The sequence below is a fragment of the Homo sapiens genome, chromosome 15 (assembly GCF_000001405.40).
Source record: "Homo sapiens chromosome 15, GRCh38.p14 Primary Assembly".
NCBI lineage: Eukaryota > Metazoa > Chordata > Mammalia > Primates > Hominidae > Homo > Homo sapiens.
Genome location: NC_000015.10, coordinates 82,827,761 through 82,850,658, shown reverse-complemented (window position 1 = coordinate 82,850,658; position 22,898 = coordinate 82,827,761). Strand labels below are relative to the sequence as shown.

The following is a 22,898-nucleotide window of genomic DNA, read 5'->3' as shown; positions in this document are numbered from 1 at the left end:
TAGTTACATGACCCTGGAATTGGTAACTGCTTCCTGTGCACATGTTCAGAAAGGTCTCTGTTTATTCCCTCAACATAAAGCTCTTATTTGATATGAAGAGTTAAAGGCTTATGGCTCATTTAAGGACTCACAGCTGTCCTGTCTTTGGGAACCTGCTTGTGATTTACCTAGATGTGCCTCTGTAGGCTTGTGGGGCCCAGCGCCACAGAACATCTCCATGGTAACAGCATCAGAGGGTGCACAGACTGGCTGTCCCTGAGTCATTGGCATGGCCAGTCCTTCCTCTCTGAGGGCCAGAGGCTGGCCTGGGGCTGAGGAGGCCACGCCTCTCTGTGGGACCAGGGGAACGAGCCACTCTCCCATCTGTTCTGTCTCTCAGGATGGAACTGAAATGTGGTCTCTGCTAGCCACTCAGACAGGGATTTCAGACTTTCCCTGCTGGGCCCTGTGTGAGGTCTCCCTCAGGCAGGACTCTGCGTTCTGCCTGCTTTGTTGGGTCTTGGGTTTTCAGGCTGGGTGTTGGTCCCTCTGTGGGAGAGCAGGCAGGAAAGGAGGAGGTCACTGAAGTGCCTGCTGCTTCCCTTCTGATGTCTTGGTCACAGGCTTGTGTGCTGGGGTAGCATGTCTCTAGGCAGCTTAAGCCCTGGCCCAGGCCCTCAGATTGGATGGAGAATGGTTGGTTCAGCTGTAGCAGGTTTTGAAGGATGACTCTCGTCACTCAGTTTTCTAGACCCTTCTCCCTTTTGCTTGGCCAGGCGGCAGAGAGAGACAATCAAAACCTGGAAGACAAAGTGCGTTCCTTAAAGACAGACATTGAGGAGAGCAAATACCGACAGCGCCACCTGAAGGTGGAGTTGAAGAGCTTCCTGGAGGTGCTGGACGGGAAGATTGACGACCTGCATGACTTCCGCCGAGGGCTCTCCAAGCTGGGCACCGATAACTAGGGCTGGCCGAGGCCCAGGCCCCGCCCGTGAGTCCCAAGCGTGTGTGCGAGACCAGATAGCTCTAGGACGTTCTTCTGTGTGCATTGCTTCTGTAAATGCAGGCGCAGTTTGTCGTGTTTCCAAACCAGTTGTGCCGTCCACTCACTCCTTTTCAGAATAGAAATCTCCTCTCGCTTCTCTGGCCTTGTGAGGTTGTGGACAACTGGAAGATTCTGACTCAGGAATCCAGAACTAGGTCTACCTTCAACATTTATGCAGTCAGGGCAGGGATGTTTATATCTTTCATAAGGGCTGTTGCAACCATATGAACTGAAAAAACACGCATTTTGTAATCCAAATATTGATATTCTTTACACCAAGCCATCAGGCTCCTTTTATCAAATAGCATTCAGAGTATTTGAATGTCCACCAGACACCAGCCCCGGGGGGCACAGAGAGAACAACATTCCTCTCTGTCAACATCGAGAGGCTTTAAAACAACTGTTTAGTGGAAACTTTCTGAGAGATGGAAAACAAGCTTCTGGTGGGTGCATTTTCTGGCCCGGAGTTGCCTGCATCCACGCTACTGCCCCCTGCCCCCCGCCCCCCCAGTTTGTACGGTTGCAACAGTGTTCCTTTTCTTGGTTTTAATTTCTGAGCAGATGATTGTGCTGTGGGAACAGCACACAGTGAGGGTGCCTAGCACAATGTCTGGCACAAAGTAGGTGCTTAATAAATATTTGTTCAATTAAATGTGTACACAGAATTTAGTGTTTTAATCAAACCCCACAGCAGAGCTGGGACCCTGTCGAATGATGCACCATCTTTGCTGTGCTGGGTAGTTAACAGACATGAATACCACTGTCTGGTCAAACCCAAGCTGGGGCTCGGGTGGCCCTGGGGCAGGGAGGGAGAAGGGGAAGCAGCAGGAGCTGGTCTCAGGCCCCTGGAGCCCATCCGTGATGCTCTGCCCCTGGGGCTCTCCAGACCCTCGAATCACCTTCTCCCCTAGGAATGGTGACCCAGGGATTCCAGGTATAGGGGCTGCCCAGGGCTTGGTACCTAGGGTAGGATTGTCTTATGGGTCTGGACAGCTGGGAAGAAATCACAGGCATTTCGGGGGGAGAGAGCAGCTCAGCTGACAAGCCTTGGCCCTCATGACAGAGGTGTTCCACCCAGCTCTGCGTCCTGCCTTTTTCAGTTTCTCCTAGGGAAGGGACTGCAGCCATAAACCTCTCCTCTCTCACAGAGCTGCTCAGTGGGGCCAGCGGGCCTGTGGGTGCTGTTGGCATCCTGCCCTGGGAGATTGCCCGTGTGTGGCAATAATGGCTTGAATCCCTGGCCCCACACATCTCTAAATGCCTTGAGCAGGGGGGAGGCTTTGGTGCCCCCTCACCCCTTTGAGAACCACCTAAGAGGACTACTCCTTCTAGAAACCTTCTCCCATGGACGTGGTTAGACTTTCTCCCTGCTGAATTTGGATTAATGAGCAAACAACCCGAGGAAGGAGGGAGATGGGGTCCGAACCCAGGTGCCCTGGGCCCCAAGGTGAACACGAGTCCTCCTGCTCTCCTTCCCTTCCCCTCACGGAGACGCCTCTCTGAGCTGGGGAGTCTTGTTTGGGATGTGGATGGAAGGGAAGGCTGGGCATCTGGAGCACCAAGGCACTTTTAGAGGAGCTCCCGCAAGGTGAGTGGGGGCTTTGGTTGAGTACATAGGGCTTTTGGCAGACAGGAAGTGGAAAGCGTGGCCAGCCATCTTTGTGATTCGGGGTAGTCTGCTGCTGGCCCTTCCCTTTCCCCAGAGCTCCAGACGGCTCTCAGGACAGTTGGTAGCAGCTCCCTCCTGGCTGCACCAGGAGACCAGAGAGCCGAGCTGGCTATGAGTCAGCCCCGTGGCCCAGCAGCGGGATAAGGGGATTCTCAAGCCAGCCTGGTCTGCCCAGCAGCAGGCTGGGTGTGTGGCTGCCTGGGAGCAGTGGACACTGGGTTCCAAACACCTTCCGCTGGGGTCTTCAGATGACCTCTGCCTTTATCAGGTGACTTATGAATCTAGAAAGAGCCCGCTTGACTGACAAGAGAATGCTCAGGTGACATGCATAGAATAGTTACTGAAGCCACTTGTACATTCTGATAGCAGTGACTTTAGAAAACTCCAGAAGTGGAGGTGTAGAAAATGTTGGAAGAGCCATTTCCACAGTGGGCTGCTGTGCAGTTGAGACCCATGATCCCAGTTCACCAAGCACTGAAGAGTGTGGTGAGCATCCTGTGGGCAGCAGGTGAGGAACTTGGATTCCTCCTGCTGTGTGTCCAGCTCTACAGCTGTTGCAACCCTGGAGCTAAGAGTAGTAAGGACTCCCTTAAAGGGAAAGGTAAGTTGGGCTTGGCCGTGAAAGCACAACAGCTTTTACAAAAGCACTGAACTTTCCATTCCTTCTGCTTTTCTCTGAAGATCTCAGTGTCTTTTCATTTACTTTCTTTTAAAATAGTGGCCCTGGAGCAACCTGGACGGTGTTCCCTTGAGCTGGTGTGACGTGCCCTCGTTTATTCTGACATCCAGCCCAGTCTCAGTACTGTTGTCATAACCTTACGCCAGACTCAGGCAGAATGTAAGCCATTCACTCGTGAGCATCGCAGCCGCTTGTGCTGCCTGGAAGCTGCAGGGCCAGGACTGCATTTTCAGTTTGCAATTGAGGTCTCCTGATTTTGGTGTTTCCAAGACTGGCTGCTATACCTTGATAAGCTTTCCTTCTGCCTCCATGAAACCTGGTGTCTAAAAAAGATCAACTAAAACTTGGAACCCTTTAACCAAGAGGACCTTTAAAAATAACCTTTCATTCCAGTCAAGACCCAGCTGGATGCATTTTAAAGTTGGGAGTGGCGAGGAAGCCTTCCTAGTGCCGCCCGGGGAATGTAAAACCACCAGAGCAACAGGTTGGGACAGTATGGTCAGGCCTTGGAGGGAAAGAGAACCAGTATCCACACAAGACCTCGAACTTGTGTGGCCCCTCAGTTTCATCTCTCCTGCCTGCCATCACATTAGACTTTAATTGGGTGAGAGAACAGGGCAGAGACTGTCACCTGCATTTTGCAGATGGGAAGTAGAGACAGAGAAAGTGACACGCCCAGGGTCACCCAGCGGTGACCAGCAGCGTGGACTCTGCATCCAGGTCTCCTGGACCTTGATGCAGTATCTTTTGAGACATGCCACTCTAGTCCCTTTGGTGACCCGTGGGTGCCAAGAGAAAATAATTCTTATATCCTGATAAGAGCATATTACAATTATATTATTTCAATATGTGTCCACAGCAAAGGACAGTTTACAAAAATGTGAATCCGAATGACATTTAGGAATGTTTGTTATAAATGATAAGTTCCACTTTGGAATGATTCTGGTTTTGCAGGAATCTTTCCAAGAAAGTTGGTTAAAATGATGTCTCTGCCTGTGAGGCCAGTTCTATGGAAAACAAACACACCCTGAGTTCTTTATTGATGGCTTTAGTGGAGGCAGAGCAGTATGTTCAAAACAAGTGGGAGGCCCTGAGATCGCAGGAATGGAAACAGAGTTCTGGCTGGGGGTGGCCTGTCCACTGCCCGCCCCTTCCTGGAGATGCACTCCTTTCTGGCTTTCTGGGGAGGGAGCAGCCTTGCTCAGTGGTGGGAGCAGCTTGAACGGGACCTGATCAACACCCAGGAAGACTGTGCACAGAGGGCAGTTGGTCTCCAGCCTGCAGGCTCCATGAGCACAGCCTTGATGGTGGTGGGCAGGCGCCTGCCTGCTGTGGACTACATTTGATGCAAAACATCAAGTAAAGGGTGGAGCGTAATACAGTGAATATGCCTCCCAGAAACATCATGCTCTGCCTATTTTAACAGGGCTCTTTTTCTTTAGAAAAGTCTCCTTCTCTATAGAAACCAGGGACAATTTTGGATGAGAGCCAACCACAGGACGCGCTGGGGACGTTATGGTGGGACCTCACATGTGGCCAGGTGCACCTTTGGGAAGAAGGCAGACGTGATGTGACTTAGCACAGGCACTCAAAAGAGGCAGCCACTGGTCTTTGCTAATATCCAGAAGTGGATTGTTTGTTCCATTCATCCTTCTAGAAGCTAAATTCTTTCATTGCCTTGAGACATCACTAGATTTTGAAGCACTTGCAAACTAGAAGCTTGCAAGATCAATGTCCATGTATATTTTTAAAGATATGCATGCTTTAAAAGGACCCTAATTTCTGAGTACATGGCTTCCCCAAAGAAACAGTATATATTCTGGAGATGATGGGGGTTTTGGCATGGAGAGGGACTCCTGTCTAGTCTAGAAAATGTTACTTACATGCCTCTTCCATGTACCGATCTCAAGAATATGGGTTTTCTAGTTGGCTTTAAACACTACCCAGGCAGGAAGGTGGCTTTGGTAAGAATTTTGAGCTGGATGAAATGTTCTAGTGAACTTACGACTGTGTATGTGCGCACGCGTGTGTGTGTGTGTGTGTGTGTGTGTGTGTGTGTGTGTGTGTGAAGAAACAGCAAAAGGGGAAGTGGGAGAAACAGTAAGGAAGCGTTTTTAATTAAAAATATGTATACCTAAGAGGAGACTTTATTTTCTATTTCTGGTGGTGGTGATCTATGTTCTGGAATCCATTTACCAGAAGTTTGTGGATCTTTTGTTTGAAGTGGAATTGTTCAGTGCCCTACTCTCTTTGACGGTGCAGAGCCTTGCGGCAAAGTGTTCTCCTGGGCCCTAGAGACCCCCAGGGCACCTGGCAGGAGCCCGTAAACCACGGCAGAGTCCCAAGTGGTGCATGTTTTGGCGAGTGATGGGCAGGACTGATGATTCACAGCTGTGAGGCTGTGCTATTGTTTTTACCCTCTTGTACTGCTTTTAATAGGAAGTCCCGACTTTACGTCAGTTGTGAGAGCAGCGTCTTATGATGTGACAGGCAAGAAGACATTCCTTGCATCAAATATAAGAGTTTAATGAGAAGAGTGGAGTGGATAAGTGAACTCTCCCAAGAGTACTGTTTTTTGTTTCCCTTTTTAAATGCTTTCTTGGTACATAAATAATATAATACTTTTTTTAAAGAAATTCCAGATGAGTGGGAAAAAAACCAATCACCTGTTATTACACTATCTGATTATAACCACTGTTAACATTTCAGTTTTTATCTTTTCAGACTTTTTTCTATGCATCTGTGTGTGTTTTATTACTTTTTCCATGAAATATAATCATATTATACATACTGTTTTATAACTTTTATCCCTTTTAATGCTATATTGTGAATAGATTTCTATATCAGTAAATATGTAATTACATTATTTTTAACCTCTATGTAGGTTGTACCTTGGATACTTAGGTTGTTTCCAATTTTTTTACTGTTGTAGTCAAGGACATAATGAAGTTCTTCTAACATCCTTGCGAACTTTTCAGAATATTGACTTAGGGTAATTTTCTGAAGTTATCACTGGCTCAAAAGTACGCGCCTCCCTATCTGCGGCTCCTTTCCTTCTGAGGCATACAGGACTTCACCCTCCATCCCCCTTGTACTCATTCAGGGTCCTATGACTAATTCTGGCCAATGAAATGTGAGCACAGGTGACACATGAAGCTCCAGACAGACACTGAAATGCCCATGAGCAGTTCCGCAGTGTCTGCCTTCCCTTCCCTCAGCAAATGCTGATGTCCCAGGGACAGAGCCTCTGTCAAGCCTGGATCCCTGAGTGACTACGTGGAGCAGCCCCCTTCTCCCTTCATGTTACCCTCACCTGCCACCCTGCATGGACGGGTAGCATGAATAAAAAAAATAAACCTTAGGTGTTAAACACTGGGGTTTCAGGGTTAATTGGTTAACTGCAGCATAACATATCCTGTTGCAACAATAAAAAAGAATGCACATTTTTAGGACTTGTAATATGTATTGCCTCAAATTGCCTTCCAGAAAGACAGACCCAATTATACTCCCACCCACAGTGTGTGAGTGTGTACTGCTTCCTCTTTAACACTGGAGTTACCCTGGGGACAGAGAGCTAAAAAAAATATTTTTTTGGTTAAAATGTAACCCTTTAAGGTGTTCAGCAGTATCATTGATTTCTAAGAGGTTTATTTCATAAACATTGTAAAACAAAATTTTAAGTTGCACGTATGGCTTTTTAAAAACGTTTAGACATTTAAAAAAACACCTTTTAGTCAAGTTTATCTGTTACTTTTTTTTTTTTTTTTAATGGTTGCTACCTATGCCGTCATGCTTATGCAGGTCTTTCCAATTCTTTTTTTTTTTTTTTTTTTTTTTTTTTTTTGAGACGGGGTCCACCCTGGCCCCCAGGCTGGAGTGCAGTGGCGTGATCTCAGCTCACTGCAACCTGCGCCTCCCGGGTTCAAGCGATTCTCATGTGTCAACCTCCCTCCTGAGTAGCTGGGACTACAAGTGTATGCCACCACGCCCAGGTAACTTTTTGTTTTTAGTAGAGATGGGTTTCGCCATGTTGCCTAGGCTGGTCTCGAACTCCTGAACTCAGGCAATCCACACGCCTTGGCCTCCCAAAGTGCTGGAATTACAGGTGTGAGCCACCAAGCCCGGCGAGGTCTTCCCAATTCTGATGGCAAGGTTGTATAAATATTCACCACTATCTTATTCTTGTACTTTTATTATTTCTTTCTAAACAGTTAAATCTGTGATCTGGCTGGGCGTGTTGGCTCTTGCCTGTAATCCCAACACTTTGGGTCGCCAAGGTGGAAGGATCACTTGAGTCCAGGCATTTGAGGTTACAGTGAGCTTTGATGGCACCGGTGCACTCCAGCCTGGGGAACAGAGCAAGACCCTGTCTCTAAAAAAAATTTTAAAAACCTCTGATCTATCTGGAATGTATTTTCTAAATTACCCCAACACTGTTTATTGGGAAGTCTGTCCTTTATTCTATATGAAATCCCATTTTTGCCATACACCTAGTAGCCCTTCTGTTGGGTGCCAGGATAAGCACCCTGGCCTTGAGTGTGCTGTGAACTCTTTATTATGGGTTGTGATCTTCCTGCACATTCTAGCACTGGTACCACATTGTTTGGATCGCCATAGCTTTGGACTAAACTTCCCCATTAAACTTTTTCAAAACTTGCCTAGTATATTGTGCAGGCCGGGCATGGTGGCTCACGCCTGTAATCCCAGCACTTTGGGAGGCCAAGGTGGATGGATCACCTGAGATCAGGAGTTCGAGACCAGCCTGGATAACATGGCGAAACCCCATCTCTACTAAAAATACAAAAAAAAAAAAAAAAAAAAAAAATTAGCTGGCTGTGGTGATAGGAACCTGTAATCTCAGCTACTTGGGAGGCTGAGGCAGTGAACCCAGGAGGCAGAGGTTGCAGTGAGCTGAGATAGCACCAGCCTGGGCAACGGAGCGAGACTCTGTCTCAAAAAAACAAAAAACAAAACAAAAAAAAAACCTTCCAAAAGAAGTTTGAGATAATTTTATGTTTAGAAAAATTAGAAATTGGATTGAGTAAAATTTACATATTTTACACAAGAGGACTAACATCTTTATAATATTTAACCTTTCAGTAAATTTATGTTTTATGTTTCTCAGCCTATCTTTTCTAGTATAGGTGATTTTTTTAGTGTGGTTACTATTGTAAATGAGATCCTACTACTTTAAAAAATGAAAATTAAATCTATCGCTTTTATGACTTTAAAACATTAGACTTATGTAAGTGTAAACATTATTTAAAAACATAATGTAGAAAATTAAAGTCCCCCATAATTAAAATCCCTTTCCCCCAGAAAAAGTCAACAGCATATTCATCAGTTTTTTCCTAAAGTATGTTTTAGCACTTTGACCATATGAGACAACCCTTCTGCTGTTAGCATTTTTCTCTTTGCAATAGATCTTCCTATGTCAGTACACATCAATCTACCTCATTCTTACCTCTGCATAAGAGAGTAGTGTGTAGTTGTATAATAGTTTAACTTGGCGATTGGTTATTGATTTTGTAACTAGCCAGTTACTGAATTATTCTAAAGGTTTTGCTGTTGTTAATTTCTTTCGCCTTTTTCAGTTGGGTAATAGTTCTGGGTAGGTTGATAATTTTATTCCCATATTTGTAATCTTATTTCACTTTCTCAACTCATCACATTGACTGGTACTTTTAGAACAATGTTAAAAAACATTTACATAATTGTGCTGATATTGTACATTATTTGATATATATATATCAAATTTTTTTTACTTAGAAGAGTGTTTCTCCAAAACTATAAATTTGACTCTTAGTGTAAAATAATCTTAATATTTGAATTATACATTCAGGTTATGCCCTCTATTTCTAGTTTGATGAAAATATTATTAGTAATGGATGTTGGGGTTTTATTAAATGGCTTTTTTCCACATCTGTCAAGATGATCAACTGGCTTTTCTCTATTATGACTTTAGATGAATCGTTTTAATAGATTTGCTAATGTTAAGACATCTCTGCATTTCTACAAGAATCTGATGTAGTCATAGTATACTATTCTTTTAATATACATCTCCTTTCAATGTTAACAGTGGTTATTTATGATTGGTTGGTCCATAGTAGATTTTTATTTTGTGTTTCTTATCTGTACTTTCTGATTTTTCTACAAAGATTGTGTATTACTTGTATAATAAAAATAAGAGCTTTAAATTGTGAAATTCTTCTGGATTTGGTTTTCTCATTTTATTATGGAATTTTTCATACCTAAATAAGATGAATAGTTGGGTAATTTTTTTTCTGCTTTGTCAGTTATTGGTGTTTGTTAACTTCTTAAAAAAATTAAAAAGAACTTGGGAAGCTCTGTTTTTCTATGCCCTGGAAACATTTAAATATTTAGAATTTTTTGCTCTTTGAAGTTTTTATAACATGTATGAAACTGTCCAAATCTAGTAGTGCCTTTTTAGGAAATATGGGGTTGTTGTTTTTTTTTAATTTTTTTCATGCTCATTATTTTCTTCAAACTTTATTTCTATTCTGTAAGTTTTTGGCAATTTAAATTTTCCCGGCTAAGCACAGTGGCTCATGCTTGTAATCCCAGCACTTCTGGAGGCGGAGGCAGGAAGATTGCTTGAGCCCAGGAGTTCACAATCAGCCTGGGCAACATAGTCGCTACTAAAAATTAGCTAGGCATGGTGGTGTGTGCCTGTAGTCCCAGCTACTCAGGAGGCTGAAGCAGTAGGATCACTTGAGCCCTGGGGGCCGAAGCTGCAGTGAGCCGTGAGCATGCCTGGGACACAGAGCAAGACCCTTTCTCAAAAAAAAATTTTTTTTAATTAAGTGAATTTTCCTAAATAGTGATTCTGTTCTATTTTCAGATTTGTTGGCCTGGAGTTGTAGTATTCTGCTTCCTCATTCCCATGTTGCGTGTGCTTTCCCTTTTTGTTCTCATTGGTTTTTCCAGAATTACTCTGTTTCATTGATCTTTTCAAATAACCAACTCTGAGATTTATATCTTAATTTTACTGTTTTACTATTTCATGATTCTTTTCGTTTTGTTCTTAATTTTTTCCTTTATTATTTTCCCACCTTCTTAAGTTACATGCCATTTTAACTTTTTCTTACTTAATAAAAGACAGTTACTAACATTGTAAGGTACGACTTTTCCTCTAAATACATCTTTATCCATATCTCTTAAATTTATATTTAGTGTTCTAAGTTATAAATAATTTATAATTTCAGATTTGACTTTATTTTTTACTGGAGTTTTTTGAAATTATACTTTTAAATTTCCAGGTAGTTTATTTTGTTGTTGTTTTTTAGCATTTCTTACAAACTTCTAGTTTTATTGCCTTGTCAAAGAGAGTATGGCCTGTACAATTTGTGTGCATTTTGGAGATCATGGATGTTTTCTTGAGACCTGATTTTTAGTTTTAATACATATCTCCAGGAAACTGAAGAAGAAAGCATATTCTCTGAAGGGAACAAAATTCAATCAGATGTATTCATTTGACCTTACAAAGTATAATATTATGGACCTTTAATTTTAATTTACTTGATTCATTAAGGCTAAGAAAGATATGTTCGTCTCCTATTATTGTATTTCTGTCTGTTTCTTTTGTTTCTAACAGTTTTTGCTTTGTTTCTTTTTGATGTTATTTGGCAAATGATCTTTTTATATTTAAGGGAAAAAATATTTTCCTTTAAAGGCTTGTATACCTTTGTGAATTTTACCTGATTTTGTTGTAATAGTTTCTGTAGAAATACATAGTTCAGTAAAATATTTGTGTCTGTTTTTAAGTCAACAGAAATCTTTCAGAAATCCTTTGTATCTTGACAAGATACTTTGGAAGTTCTTGATCTCCCTAAGTAGGCTAATGTCCTTGCAGGCTACTCCTGAACCAAAGCATAAGTGGAAGTGGGGGCTGGGGCATATTAGGCTTGGGATTTTTTGAGTGTGCCAATGTTTCTGGTTCTTGCTTTGGGGCAACCCCATGCTTAGGGATGTTTAGGGGATGCCTGCCCTTCATCTGGTCATATTCTGCCTCAGTAGGGCCCACACAAAGGCAACCTATGAGGCACTTTTCTTCTGTGGGGACTAGCCTTCTGAGAAGGCAGGAGAATGTAGCTTTATATGCCTGGCTATTGGGGTAAAAGCTAATCTCAGAGACTCATTCCACCAGATAAGATTTTGGTTTTTTTTTTCTGTAGAGTCAGAGTCCCGCCATGTTTTCCAGGCTGGTCCTGACTCCTGGGCTCAAATGATCCTCCTGCCTTGGCCTTCCACAATGCCAGAATCACAGGTGCAAGCCACCATACACAGCCCCCACCAGAAAAGGTTTTTCCAGAGCTGTTGGAACAGGCTATTCACATGGCAAAGTCTGTATCAAACACAGAACCGGCTTTTCCCAAATGTGTAGGAGTGGTGAATCCCAGCCCTCAGCTCAAGAGTAAAAGAAATAGGACCTTCTCTATTTTTCCTTCATTCAAGTGAGTGTTGATTTTTGAGCCCCTGTTCCACCAGGCTCATGCAATTTGACTCAGTCAGCTTCAGCACTCCCCTTTCTCCAGAGGAGAGTCCTTTACAGTTCTGGGGAGCTTACATATTCCAACATGTTAAGGGGAGGGGATTCACGTCTGCTGAGATATCCCCGTTTCCTACCCCGCTGGATACCTCATGCCTCCATCCCATGCTTGGGACATAGGAATTAGCTGTTCTGTGCTGTAGGAATCTCCATGAAGCTGTACTTGGCTCTGCCTGCCTGGGCCCTCCCTGTAGCCATGCCCTGTCTGGCGCCACAATGACTTCATTTAACTTGAAGGGACTGCTAGATAAGCCCAATGTGTGTTTGCACGGGAGTCAAGACCACTGAGTGGAAATAATTCTGTGGCTGCCACCGATGCTGTTTGCATTGCCGAGAGCCACAGTTCTACCCCCTACTTCCCAGCAGTGGCCCCGCTGCGCCTGCCAGAGTTGTTACCATCTCTGTGCCCTTTCTCTTGCTTATTGCACAGTAGGTTACACAGTCTTGTGCTTCTCCATCTTGCCATGTCATCTCTTCACTCTACCGCTGCTCTGACCGGCCCATGCCTACCCTGTTCCCGTACCCTCCAGGATCTCCTCCGTTTTCGTATTCCTTTAATGCAGAGCTGCCAGAGGCTTCTTCCTAAAGCATAGACAGATCAGGTCCTAGGACCCTGCAGGCTCTTCCCCTGCCTGCCCAGGCCTTGCTGTGCACTCTCCCTGTGTTCTTCTTGCTTATGCTGTTCCATCCCTGGAATCCTTTCCTGCTCCAACTCCATTCCTCTTTTAGGCCCCAAAGGCCCCAGCCCTCCGGATGAAACTAAACCACTACCAGGGAGGGGGACTTGTGCCTCTTCCATCGTCCTTTTCATACTTACAGCTGTTAAATCATTCATTCATGTTTTCATTTAGCAAATATTTATTGTGCACCCTCATGCCCAGGCCCTGGGAACACCACAGTAAGAAGACTATTACTTTCCCCAGATCTGCTCTGTTCCAGTGGAGGGGTGAGCTGCTCCATTGCAGGCGTTCATGGAACTCAGCTGATGGGGGATTTTGGAGGCTCCCCCACAAGGCAGAGCTCTCATAGGCAGCCGACGACAGAGGCCAGTGTGCACCCCACTTCTCCAGACTTGGGACGACCTGGGACATTCTGAAGACCTCATGAATACCAGGCTTCAGGATCGCTGACCCCAGGAGGAGCCCACGGTGGCTCTAAGTGTACCTGCTTCGCTGTTCCTGCGTCACCAGCCCACTAAGGTCCTCTGACTTTTGTGTAGTAGCATTTTTCTAAGGACAATCTGCAGAGCAGCTGCTTCAGAACTATTTGTGTTGCCGGCCCATCCCAAAAAAACCTGGATGAGGACCCTTGCATTCTGGGCCTGGAAATCTTCATTCTAGAAAGCTCCTTTTACTAGACAGAATAATGGTCCCCAAAGATGTCCACATCCTAATCCCTGGAACCTGTGGCTATGTTACCATAGTTGGCAAAAGGGCCCTTCAGATGGAGAGATGATCCTGGATTATCCGGGTGGGCCCAGACTAATCACACAAGTTCTCAGCAGCAGCAGAGAACCTTTCCTTGGGTCAGAAAGAGATGTGATGATGGAAGAAGGGTCAGATACGATGCTGCTGGCACTGAAGGTGGAGGAAGGGGCCACAAGCCAAGGAACAGGGGCAACCTCTAGAAACCAGAAAGGGCAAGGAAATGGCTTCTCCCCGGAGCCTTTAGAAGAGAACACAGCCCTGTCAACACCTTGATTTTAGCCCAGTGAGACCCATGTCAGACTTCTGACTATGGAACTGTAAGATAAGAAATTTGTCTTTTAAGCAGCTACTTTTGTGGTGATTTGTTATGGCAGCAATAGAAAACCAATGCACTCTCATGTGCTTTTACACACCCTATGGTCTGAGAGCCTCTGCCCCATAAATCCACTCAACTACGTGGGTTTCACATGCCATGTGGCCTTTAACCAATAACCTCCTCATTCTGGCTGCCGTTACCACCTGCCTGATTCCCTAGTTCAAATTCTGAAGAGAGAATGGACGAACAGATGAATACACAAGTCTGACTGGCCTAGCTCAATGCTTTTCACTCCAGGACAATCCATAGGATTGGCTGTACTAGGAGCAGATGCCAGTCCTCCTTTGTACCAGACTCCCAAGACAAAGTACATGGCTGTATAGGAGAGAGAGGTCAGAGAAGACCTGGCGGAAAAGGCTGTGGGGTTGAGACCTAAGGATGGGCATGGGTTTGCCAGGACATGAAGGGTGCAGGGAGAATTCCAGGCACTTAAGAGAGCAGGCCCTTTGGGGGCAGGCAGGAAGCAGCATGGTATTGCTGGACTAAAACCTGTGGCAGGGGCAGGGGCTGCCCAGGGGAGGCAACCAAGTCTCTGAGGGTTTTGTCTGCCAGGCTGAGGGGCTGCCCTTCCTGTGTGGGCTGGAAAGCCAGGGAGAGGTGAAGACTGGCAGTGCTTTGGAGGCCGACTGGAGAGCTCTGAAGCTGGGCAATAGGAGACACTTGTCCCCACTTCCTTGGCTCTGAATTCCCTGAAGCCAAAGTCTGGATTGACTTCAAGGCTTGGCTGGAAAAAGCAGGAAAAGGGAGAAAGGAAGGAGAGAAGGTTCCAGAGGAGGAAAGGAAGCGTTGATGCACAGAAGACACAATTGGGCCAGGAATTTTTATTGTGAGAACGTTCTTTTGAAAAGGATCCTTTTTTCAAAGGCCTCTTGTGTTTGGCAGCCCTTAGAAAGCAAATTCTGAGAATTATTTTAGCCTGATTAAGCTCGCTGGTATCTCAAAATACTGAAATTATAAATACGTAATTACAAACAATGCCAAACTGCAAAATATGCATAAGAAAAGTCCCACAAAGTTGTGATTTTGCTACTTTTTCAATTCCAAATTCTTTCCCTAGGAAGTTTGATGCTGAGCCTGGCCTGTCTGTGGTGGGGAAGGAGGCCTGGGCCACAGCCACTGGACCTGTCTCTGGGATCTGGACCTGATGCCCAGCGAGTAGCCCGCAGGTTGCGTCCCCCACTGGAACACCCCTGGGAACCTGGGTGGGAGCGGCAGGTACAGGGGCCAGTGCAGAGTCAGGGCTTGGCCCATCAGGCCTGGGCCAGCACAGTGAGGCACATTCATTCATACACAGGAGTTGGATTTGCATTCTGAAAAGGTAGCACACATGACAGACCCGTGGGCAACCTGGCAGTGGCTGGGAAACCTGGCAGTGGCCATGCCACAGAGGGAGACCCAGGCTGCAGCTGCTGAAAGGGACTCACGCCCCTCCCAGCTGTGCCAACTGAGGCCCCTCAGGCTGCTGTGTACCAGTTAGTTAAGACACTGGAAGGCCAGGTGTGGTGGCTCACGCCTGTAACCCCCAGCATTTGGGAGGCCAAGGTGGGAGGATCACGAGGTCAAGAGATCGAGACCATCCTGCCAACATGGTGAAACCCCATCTCTACTAAAAATATAAAAATTAGCTGGGTGTGGTGGCACACGCCTGTAGTCCCAGCTACTCGAGAGGCTGAGGCAGGAGAATCACTTGAACCCAGGAGGCAGAGGTTGCAGTGAGCTGAGATCGTGCCACCGCACTCCAGCCTGGTTGACAGAGCAAGACTCTGTCTCAAAAAAAAAAACAAAAAAACTGAAGTAGGAAGATTTCTGTTCTATATCAATCAGGACTTTCTTTGTAAACGAGGTGCGTTCCTTTTGTTCTGTGGAGACCCAGGAGTAATATCACCAGAGTGAGGGTGATGAGGTTAGTAGGGATGCTCGCAGTCTGAGAAATGAACGGACTGCTTTGCATCAGTCCCTTCCCCTTCCCTGATTTTAAAAATTTAATTTTAAGGAGAAAATACTTCAGCATGAGACTTCAGTTCCTGAGGAAAATAACACTATTGCTCCATCCTTAGTATTCACTTAAACAAATGTTTAGCTAAAATTTTATTAAAAACTTTCAGCCCACCCGGACACGGAAGACTTTGCTTTTACAGCAGCTAAGGTATGTTTTCATTACCCCGTGAGTGATGCTAATGCATTGCAAATAGTTATTATGAGTTTATGTAGTGCTTGGTGCCTAAAATAAATTTCATTTAAATATTTAAAATAACTCCTGAATATAAGCAATTTATTCTGATTACTGATAAAATAACATTCACATTCAAGCCTACAAATCTGAGAAATCATTATTCCATATGCACAGAAGGCCACAGTCAGTAGTCTAATAGTACTGCTTACCAGTGTAGTGTAAACTTCTTTCAGAATCAGGGAACAATTCTAGATCAGCCATGGTGAGAAATAAGTGCTCTTCTCTTAGGCCAGCGACACTTCCGATGGGTCTTGACATCCCACCTATGGGCTGGTGTGTGAAACTCTCATCTCTACGTCCCTCCCCAGTTTTAAGAGTCACCATGTCACATAAAAGCTCCAGCATCAGCCAGGCACGGTGGCTCATGCCTATAATCCCAACACTTTGGGTGGCCAAGGCAGGTGGATCACGAGGTCAGGAGTTCAAGACCAGCCTGGCCAACATAGCGAAACCTTGTCTCTACTTAAATATACAAAAATTAGCCAGGCGTGGTGGTGCATGCCTGTAATCCCAGCTACTCGGGAGGCTGAGACAGAGAATTGCTTGAACCTGGGAGGTGGAGGTTGCAGTAAGCCAAGATCGTGCCACTGCACTCTAGCCTGGATGACAGAGAGATTCTGTCTCAAAAGAAAGAAAAAAAAAAGGCTGGGCGTGGTGGCTCACACCTGTAATCCCAGCACTTTGGGAGTCTGAGGCAGGCGGATCACGAGGTCAGAAGATCGAGACCATCCTGGCTAACACGGTGAAACCTCGTCTCTACTAAAAAATACAAAAAATTAGTTGGGCAAGGTGGTGGCGCCTGTAGTCCCAGCTACTCGGGAGGCTGAGGCAGGAGAATGGCGTGAACCCAGGAGGCGGAGCTTGCAGTGAGCCAAGATCGCACCACTGCACCCCAGCCTGGGAAGCGGAGCTTGCGGTGAGCCGAGATGGCGCCACTGCACCCCAGCCTGGGCGACAGAGTGAGACTCCATCTCAAAAAAGAAAAAAAAAAAAAATGCTGCAGCAGCCTACACAAGGCCCTGCTGATCTTCCGGGGTGTTATGTGGCCCATCTATCAGCACCCTGTTAGTATGCTTTTCGATAGGTCTAAGACTCACCCACTTTATTCAAGCCTACTGTGGCAGGTGCCTTTGTCAAACTTGAGCCTAACCATCCCACTGGCCAGGGTCCTGCTCATCACTGTCCTCCTCAGAGTCAGCAGACACCCTCTTGATTCTCTGGAGCGCAGCCTTGATGCTCCTCTCAAGGTCACTGGTGCGTCTGTTGCTGGTTGGTTTGCTGCTGGGGTTTGGGCCAAGATCAGGGTGAACTTTCTTCAGTTTGACCCCTTGCCTTATGGCAGCCAGAATGTGCTCATTGATTGAGGCGTGGGGAGGGCGCACCGCCGGCACTTCCACCTTCCGGAGAGGAGCTCTGCCATGCCTTAAGGAGGCCAACACTTCATCCATAGATCCTGAAATTGAATAAGCAGAGCTAGTACTATCAATAAAACACTTTCCCTTCCCAGGACATTACTGCTATGAAATTGTGAAATCTCCTATCAGTTAACACCATGATTTAAACAAATAATCACTTCATTAAGCAAATGCCTTGATTACGTGCTAACGATAAGCTCCCTGGTTGAATCCAGGACAGCTGAATAGCTCATGTTTTAGCTTAACCACTTCCTTTCTGCTAACTTCTTCAAATCCATAGCAACTGACAGGAACAGACATGCACTTTTGTTAGAATGACGGTTTTTCAAGACAAATGTGATCTGTCCCTCCCATCCTGAAGAGTGTTACGGAGGCCTGGGGTGGAATAGTCTCACCCACTGTGCGTGACCTGGATACCTCTGAAGCTGTATCTCCTTCATTACCCTGTCCAGCTAAAAGAAATCTTTTAAAAAAAATTTATCCTGCTCAATTTAACTTCAGTCTTGGGTATTAGTCAGTGATGACTCATTCTATGACAATGAAGTGAGTAGGTTTCTACACATGAAAAGGCTTAAAATAAAACTTTAACCGGCAACTCAATGAACCGCCACCGGAGGGGTGGTGCTGGCACATTTTTCTGTATATAATGTGTTTAATTCCACCTACATTACCCTGAGGTGGCTTACATACTTTATTTTTGAGGATGTGAAATGCTGTCAAAACACAATTAGATCAGAGCTTCAAGGCATTGGTGAGGAGAAGCTATTTTTCACTCTGGCACCTGGAGACCCCTGAGAGGGTAAAAATCTTTTATCGCCTGCTGGAGACAGGCCTGACTGTGGCCACTAATTTAGAGATCTTCCAGGTAAGGCTTCAAGGATTAATAATCAATTCTAGTTCAGGATTGAAAGGCCGTGCTGTGGCTAACAAAAGGCTATTTTGCTTTGGATTTAAACTTATACCTTCTTATTACAATTTCTTTCTGGGGGTAATGAGACAGGTTTCACAATCAAGGGCATTCTCTGGTGCAAATTCACACTTTCTTATTCTTTCCTGTGAATTAGCAGCATTTGTGAGTTGAACAGAACTTCCCAAAACCATGTGCATTAAATCTGGGCTGGGAATGTGGCACCCCACAAAGATCTGCCCACTTCCAAAGTCCGATCTAGACACAGCCACGCGAACTCTTTACTTTTCATTCACAGGGCAGTTGTTGCAAACCCCATGGAAACAGGCCATTGGGTCTCCACCTAATATATGAACATTTTCATTTGTACCTGGTTCTAGGTACAGTGAAGCTCTGAACTCAGAATAGCCAGATTGCTCAATTAACCAGAATCACAGTTTGGAACTGCTATATCATTCATAACACTTATTACAGTAACCTTGCACAGTTTAGGTGGAGGTGCTTAAGCATACTTTTAAAAACAAATTTACATAAATTTTGCTAGGATTTATCTAAAGTGCACACACATACCCCCCAAAGAAGTAGGCTCCAAGTCTAGGCAGATTTAGGCCATTCTCCTCAACACTTAATGTCTAAAGTCAAAATTCAAATTCTGAGTGAGAACTATAGCCCTATTAAAGAAACTGTCAGGAGTATTCAGTGTACTGCACTTGCCAAGACAAGTGGCCCACTTTTTCTTTCTGTCCCATTGCACTTTAGAAAGATTTCCAATAGTAAGGGTCCTCAGTGTGCTAGTCAGTCTGCAAGAACAGCCTTCTACATTCTGGCTAGTATGCCTCTACAGTAATTTCCAACCAGTATTCTGCTTAAAATACAACAACTGGATTCTATAAAGGACTCAGAGATGCAAGAGTAAGCATAATTTAAAACAGTATTGAAAAGTATTCCAACGGCAGAAATCAAATACATACTGAAGTCTTAAGAAACTTCAAATAGGTTGATACTTTAACAACCTCAGAAACCCCAAGTCATGCGATCATTAAATGTATAGAGATGGTTTCTTCAAACTGAATTAACATTTATGAAACCAGATTTAGGCTATACTATACTAACTTTCCAATAAAAGAATAATGATACTCAAGGCAGCAAATACTGGAATATTTTAAGGCTATAGAGAATTATAAAAATGATTTCCATTTGAAGATGATGGCTTCTGAAGCTAGAATGCTTCAACAGCTTAACAACTCATGGGGAGCAGGGACAGAATTCCAGTGGATTACCTGGACATGAAAAACTTTCCAAGGAGTCACGTGGTCGCTCAGCAGGTGATTCGCACACTAGAGGACGTGGCTGGTCATCTTTCACTGGAGCCCGGAAGCCTAAGTTCTGATGAGTTGCAGCTTGAGAGGATGAGGACAGAGCACGGAGAGGAGGGGGTGGGGGCGGCGGTGGCGGCGGTGGTGGTGGTGGAGGAGGAGGAGGTGGTGGCAGTGACAATTCCTCACTGGATTTGGAATGTGTTTGATCACCAACTGGAACAAAAACCTGGACAGGGATATTTCCATGACAGTTTTGACACTTGGGGCTTTTCACATTACCAGCTTCCGATAGGGGAACACCTCTAGTTTTCCTAGAGGACGGGTGAATTACTGACACCGCGTGGGAAGCTGGCAAGCACATCTGCTGGGAAAGATCACTTGGCAGGTTTGGAGCCACAGGTTCTGAGCCAGAGGTGTTTCGGACAGATTGAGCTAGGCGTTTCTGAAAATGAAAAACCATGGTGAGCAATCTGCCACAAGTGCAAACCATCAAAATGCTGAAACTTTCTAGAAATCTATAAACACATCCGTTTCTATGCATGGATGGTCTAATTCACAAAGTGACTCCTTGTTTGTACAGCCATCCTTTCTACCGAACCCATTTTTCATGGATTAAAAAAAAGATAAGCATTTATATCCTTTGATCAAGTATTACCTTCTCTGTAATAAAATGAAGATATGAAAGCATACATATAGAGGAAAATAGTCATCAACTTTTAGTATGGAAAATTAGAAATGCTAAAATACGAATAATAAGATATTTGTTGAAAAAATTATGACAAATCTATTCAAAATATTAAGTAGCCGGCGACAGAGCAAGACTCCGTCTCCAAAAAAAAAAAAAGCCATAAAAAGTGATAAATAGTACAACGCCTGAAACATCAGAAAAAAATCAGATGATAGTGTTCAATGAAAACCAGATATAAAATAGTATGTATTATGATTAAAAATGAGAAAAGTTCTATGAAAAATGCCAGCACAGTCGACATCCAAGTGGAAGCTATAACAGAGCCTGTGGATATTTCTTTTCTCTTACTTTTAGGCTTAAGAGTTAATTTCATAATTTAAAAAATGTAAATTGAAAAAGTTCTGGTCTTTCAGGTATTCATTTGATATAGAAAAACCTAGCCCTACAAAGAGCTAATCTTGAGAGGAAGTCCCTAAAGAAGGCACTGATTAGCCAATAAAACATAAAATGTAATACTATGAACTCATTAAAATGAACTAGCTCTATACATATTAACATGAATATATCTCAAAAACCTAAGTTAAAGAAACTGGCAAAGGATGAGTTCAATATGATCCTATCAATGCAAACCTAAACACACACACACCCCCCCCATGCAATCCATGATAAACTCAAGGACACACACACACACACCCCATGCAATCCACGATAAACTCAAGGAGTATTTCTATTTCCCTCACTTTCTGCTCCTTTCAGGACAAATAGCAATGTCATGGCGACAAGCCCCCAAACCTCCCTGATGCAGACACAGCCATGCAGCTGCCGTCCTGCAGCCTTCTGTCAGAGACCATGCCAGCAGAATTAGAATCCCAGAAAATGGGCCAGAGGGCTAAACTCCAGTGGTCATCCAACTGATCTCCATCCAACTGATCAGGTCATCCCTGATGCTGGGGTTCCCTGAACCACCCAAGGATGCCCTCTGTGGCATCCCGGCTGCAGCATGTCACTGTGACTCTGGACTGTTAAGTTCTGCCTTTGTTTTTTTGTAGAGACGGGGTCTCACTTTGTTGCCCAGGCTGGTCTCAAACTCCTGGGTTCAAGCAATCCACCTGCCTCACCTTCCTGAAGTGCTGGGATTACAGGCGTGAGCCATGGCGCCTGGCCGAGTTCTGCCTTATATTGCACATACAGCCTGTCCACGCATGATAAATTAAATCCTTTACCTTGTACAGCCCTTCAGATATTCAAAAAACTTTCTTGATCGCAATAGATATCATGCATCACATGATTTTATTTCTAGTTTTCTCCCTCTCCTACTTCCTCCCTTCCAAATGTGCTCAAATTGGCTATGTCCCCTTCAAGGGTGGCACTTCTTGGTAAACACAGAACTCCCTTATTCTGTGTATGGCCGCTGTCCATACATCCCAAAAGCCCATGAGCTTTCGTCACACAGGTGGCTCATTAAACTGAAGGAAACTGAATTCTTAAATTCTTTTACCCAAAATTTAAGCCACACAGACTTTCCTATCACCCCATGCAAGTGCATACCTCCATATGGGCTTTTTTGGACTAGAAAACCAGTAATTTATCCCAATTTGGGATGAACTTGTTAGCGTTTAACTAATTGTTCCAGTTTCGCTGGGAGCTTAGGAGGCCTGATTCTGTCATTTTAAATCTGCCTACCCCTCCCATTTTCATATCACCCACACATGAAAAAGTAATCTTCTGTATTGCCAAACAATTCCTTGATCTGAGTGAGGCCTGAGGAGATGGGCTGGTTGCCCTTGGATCCCTTCCTCCACACTGACTCCATTCTGTTCATCGAAACTCTCTTGGTGATGGTGACCAGCCAGTTCCTCTCTACCTCACTGGCTCTGTGTTCATCTGGTATTCATGCAGCTCCTTCAATTCATGCTTCCTGCTGCAGTTCACACCCAGGCCCCGATCCAGGGCAATCACATCAGAATTTCTATGGGTGGGGCTGGGCCTTAGTACTTAGAAGAAGCTCTCCAGGGGATGTGGATGTGTTGCCCAGGCTGAGAAGCCCTGTGTGGCTCTGGAGTAAGACCTGGCTTCAATTCCTGCTGTTTAACCTTGAACTAAGTTGTGTAACCAACCATTCTGAACCTTGGTTACTCATTTGTAAAGTGGTGATGAAACTATCTCACAAGGCTGTTTCAAGAACTAAGTGAGAGTGAATGTGAAGTGCCTAGCATGGTGCCTGGTATACAGAAGGCATCTGATACCTATTCCAGAATCTTTTCTGGGATAAAGTGGGTTGTTTTTGGGGGCTACAATAAACTTGGGTCTTTGTGAAGGGGCTGGGGAATGAAAGCAGGTCTATGTTTTACAGTCAGTAAATTCAATGATATTCTTAAATAAGCCCCTATTTACTTTTTTTTTTTGAGACAGAAGAGTCTCACTCTGTTGTTCAGGCTGGAGTGCAGTGGCGCAAGTTCAGCTCACTGCAACCTCTGCCTCCCAGGCTCAAGTGATTCTTGTGCCTTAGCCTCCCAAGTACCTGGGACTACAGGCATGCACCACCATGCCCGGCTAATTTTTGTATTTTTAGTAGAGACAGGGTTTCACCAT

At 44.7% G+C, this 22,898-nt stretch overlaps 2 protein-coding genes across 19 annotated transcripts in view, besides 3 other annotated features; one reads left to right on the top strand and one right to left on the bottom strand.

The window, feature by feature from the left end:
- The window catches only part of HOMER2 (homer scaffold protein 2), a 151,497-nt gene extending 135,499 nt beyond the window's left edge, over positions 1 to 15,998 (top strand). For 7 of the 15 annotated variants that reach the window (XM_005272449.5, XM_006720776.5, XM_047433361.1 and 4 more), the window contains one exon: positions 756 to 1,676. In XM_005272449.5, the coding sequence (XP_005272506.1) occupies positions 756 to 944 (189 nt within the window). In that variant the 3' untranslated portion in view covers positions 945 to 1,676. Of the gene's footprint in view, positions 1 to 755; positions 1,677 to 3,411; positions 9,578 to 12,864 lie in introns of those variants that run through there. The other 8 variants (XM_047433360.1, XM_047433358.1, XM_047433355.1 and 5 more) reach the window with 2 other exon arrangements.
- Positions 83 to 858: an enhancer, noted in NCBI's record as "H3K27ac-H3K4me1 hESC enhancer chr15:83518553-83519328 (GRCh37/hg19 assembly coordinates)". NCBI's record gives its function as "activates a minimal SCP1, AML or CMV promoter by ChIP-STARR-seq in primed H9 embryonic stem cells {active_cell/tissue: H9 hESC(primed)}" and the evidence as "EXISTENCE:reporter gene assay evidence [ECO:0000049][PMID:30033119]".
- The window catches only part of WHAMM (WASP homolog associated with actin, golgi membranes and microtubules), a 26,481-nt gene continuing 18,133 nt past the window's right edge, over positions 14,551 to 22,898 (bottom strand). For all 4 annotated transcript variants that reach the window (NM_001080435.3, XM_005272423.5, XM_005272421.5 and 1 more), the window contains 2 exons: positions 19,580 to 20,060; positions 14,551 to 17,430 (listed from right to left, as the gene is read on the bottom strand). In NM_001080435.3, coding sequence (NP_001073904.1) covers positions 17,123 to 17,430; positions 19,580 to 20,060 — 789 coding nt within the window. In that variant the 3' untranslated portion in view covers positions 14,551 to 17,122. The remainder of the gene's footprint in view (positions 17,431 to 19,579; positions 20,061 to 22,898) is intronic.
- Positions 17,174 to 18,373: an enhancer, noted in NCBI's record as "P300/CBP strongly-dependent group 1 enhancer chr15:83501038-83502237 (GRCh37/hg19 assembly coordinates)". NCBI's record gives its function as "activates an origin of replication core promoter dependent on BRD2, BRD4, P300/CBP, MED14 and CDK7 cofactors, with strong dependence on P300/CBP, by STARR-seq in HCT116 cells {active_cell/tissue: HCT116}" and the evidence as "EXISTENCE:reporter gene assay evidence [ECO:0000049][PMID:35650434]".
- Positions 17,861 to 18,060: an enhancer, noted in NCBI's record as "active region_9967". NCBI's record gives its function as "activates an Ori minimal core promoter by ATAC-STARR-seq in GM12878 lymphoblastoid cells {active_cell/tissue: GM12878}" and the evidence as "EXISTENCE:reporter gene assay evidence [ECO:0000049][PMID:35858748]".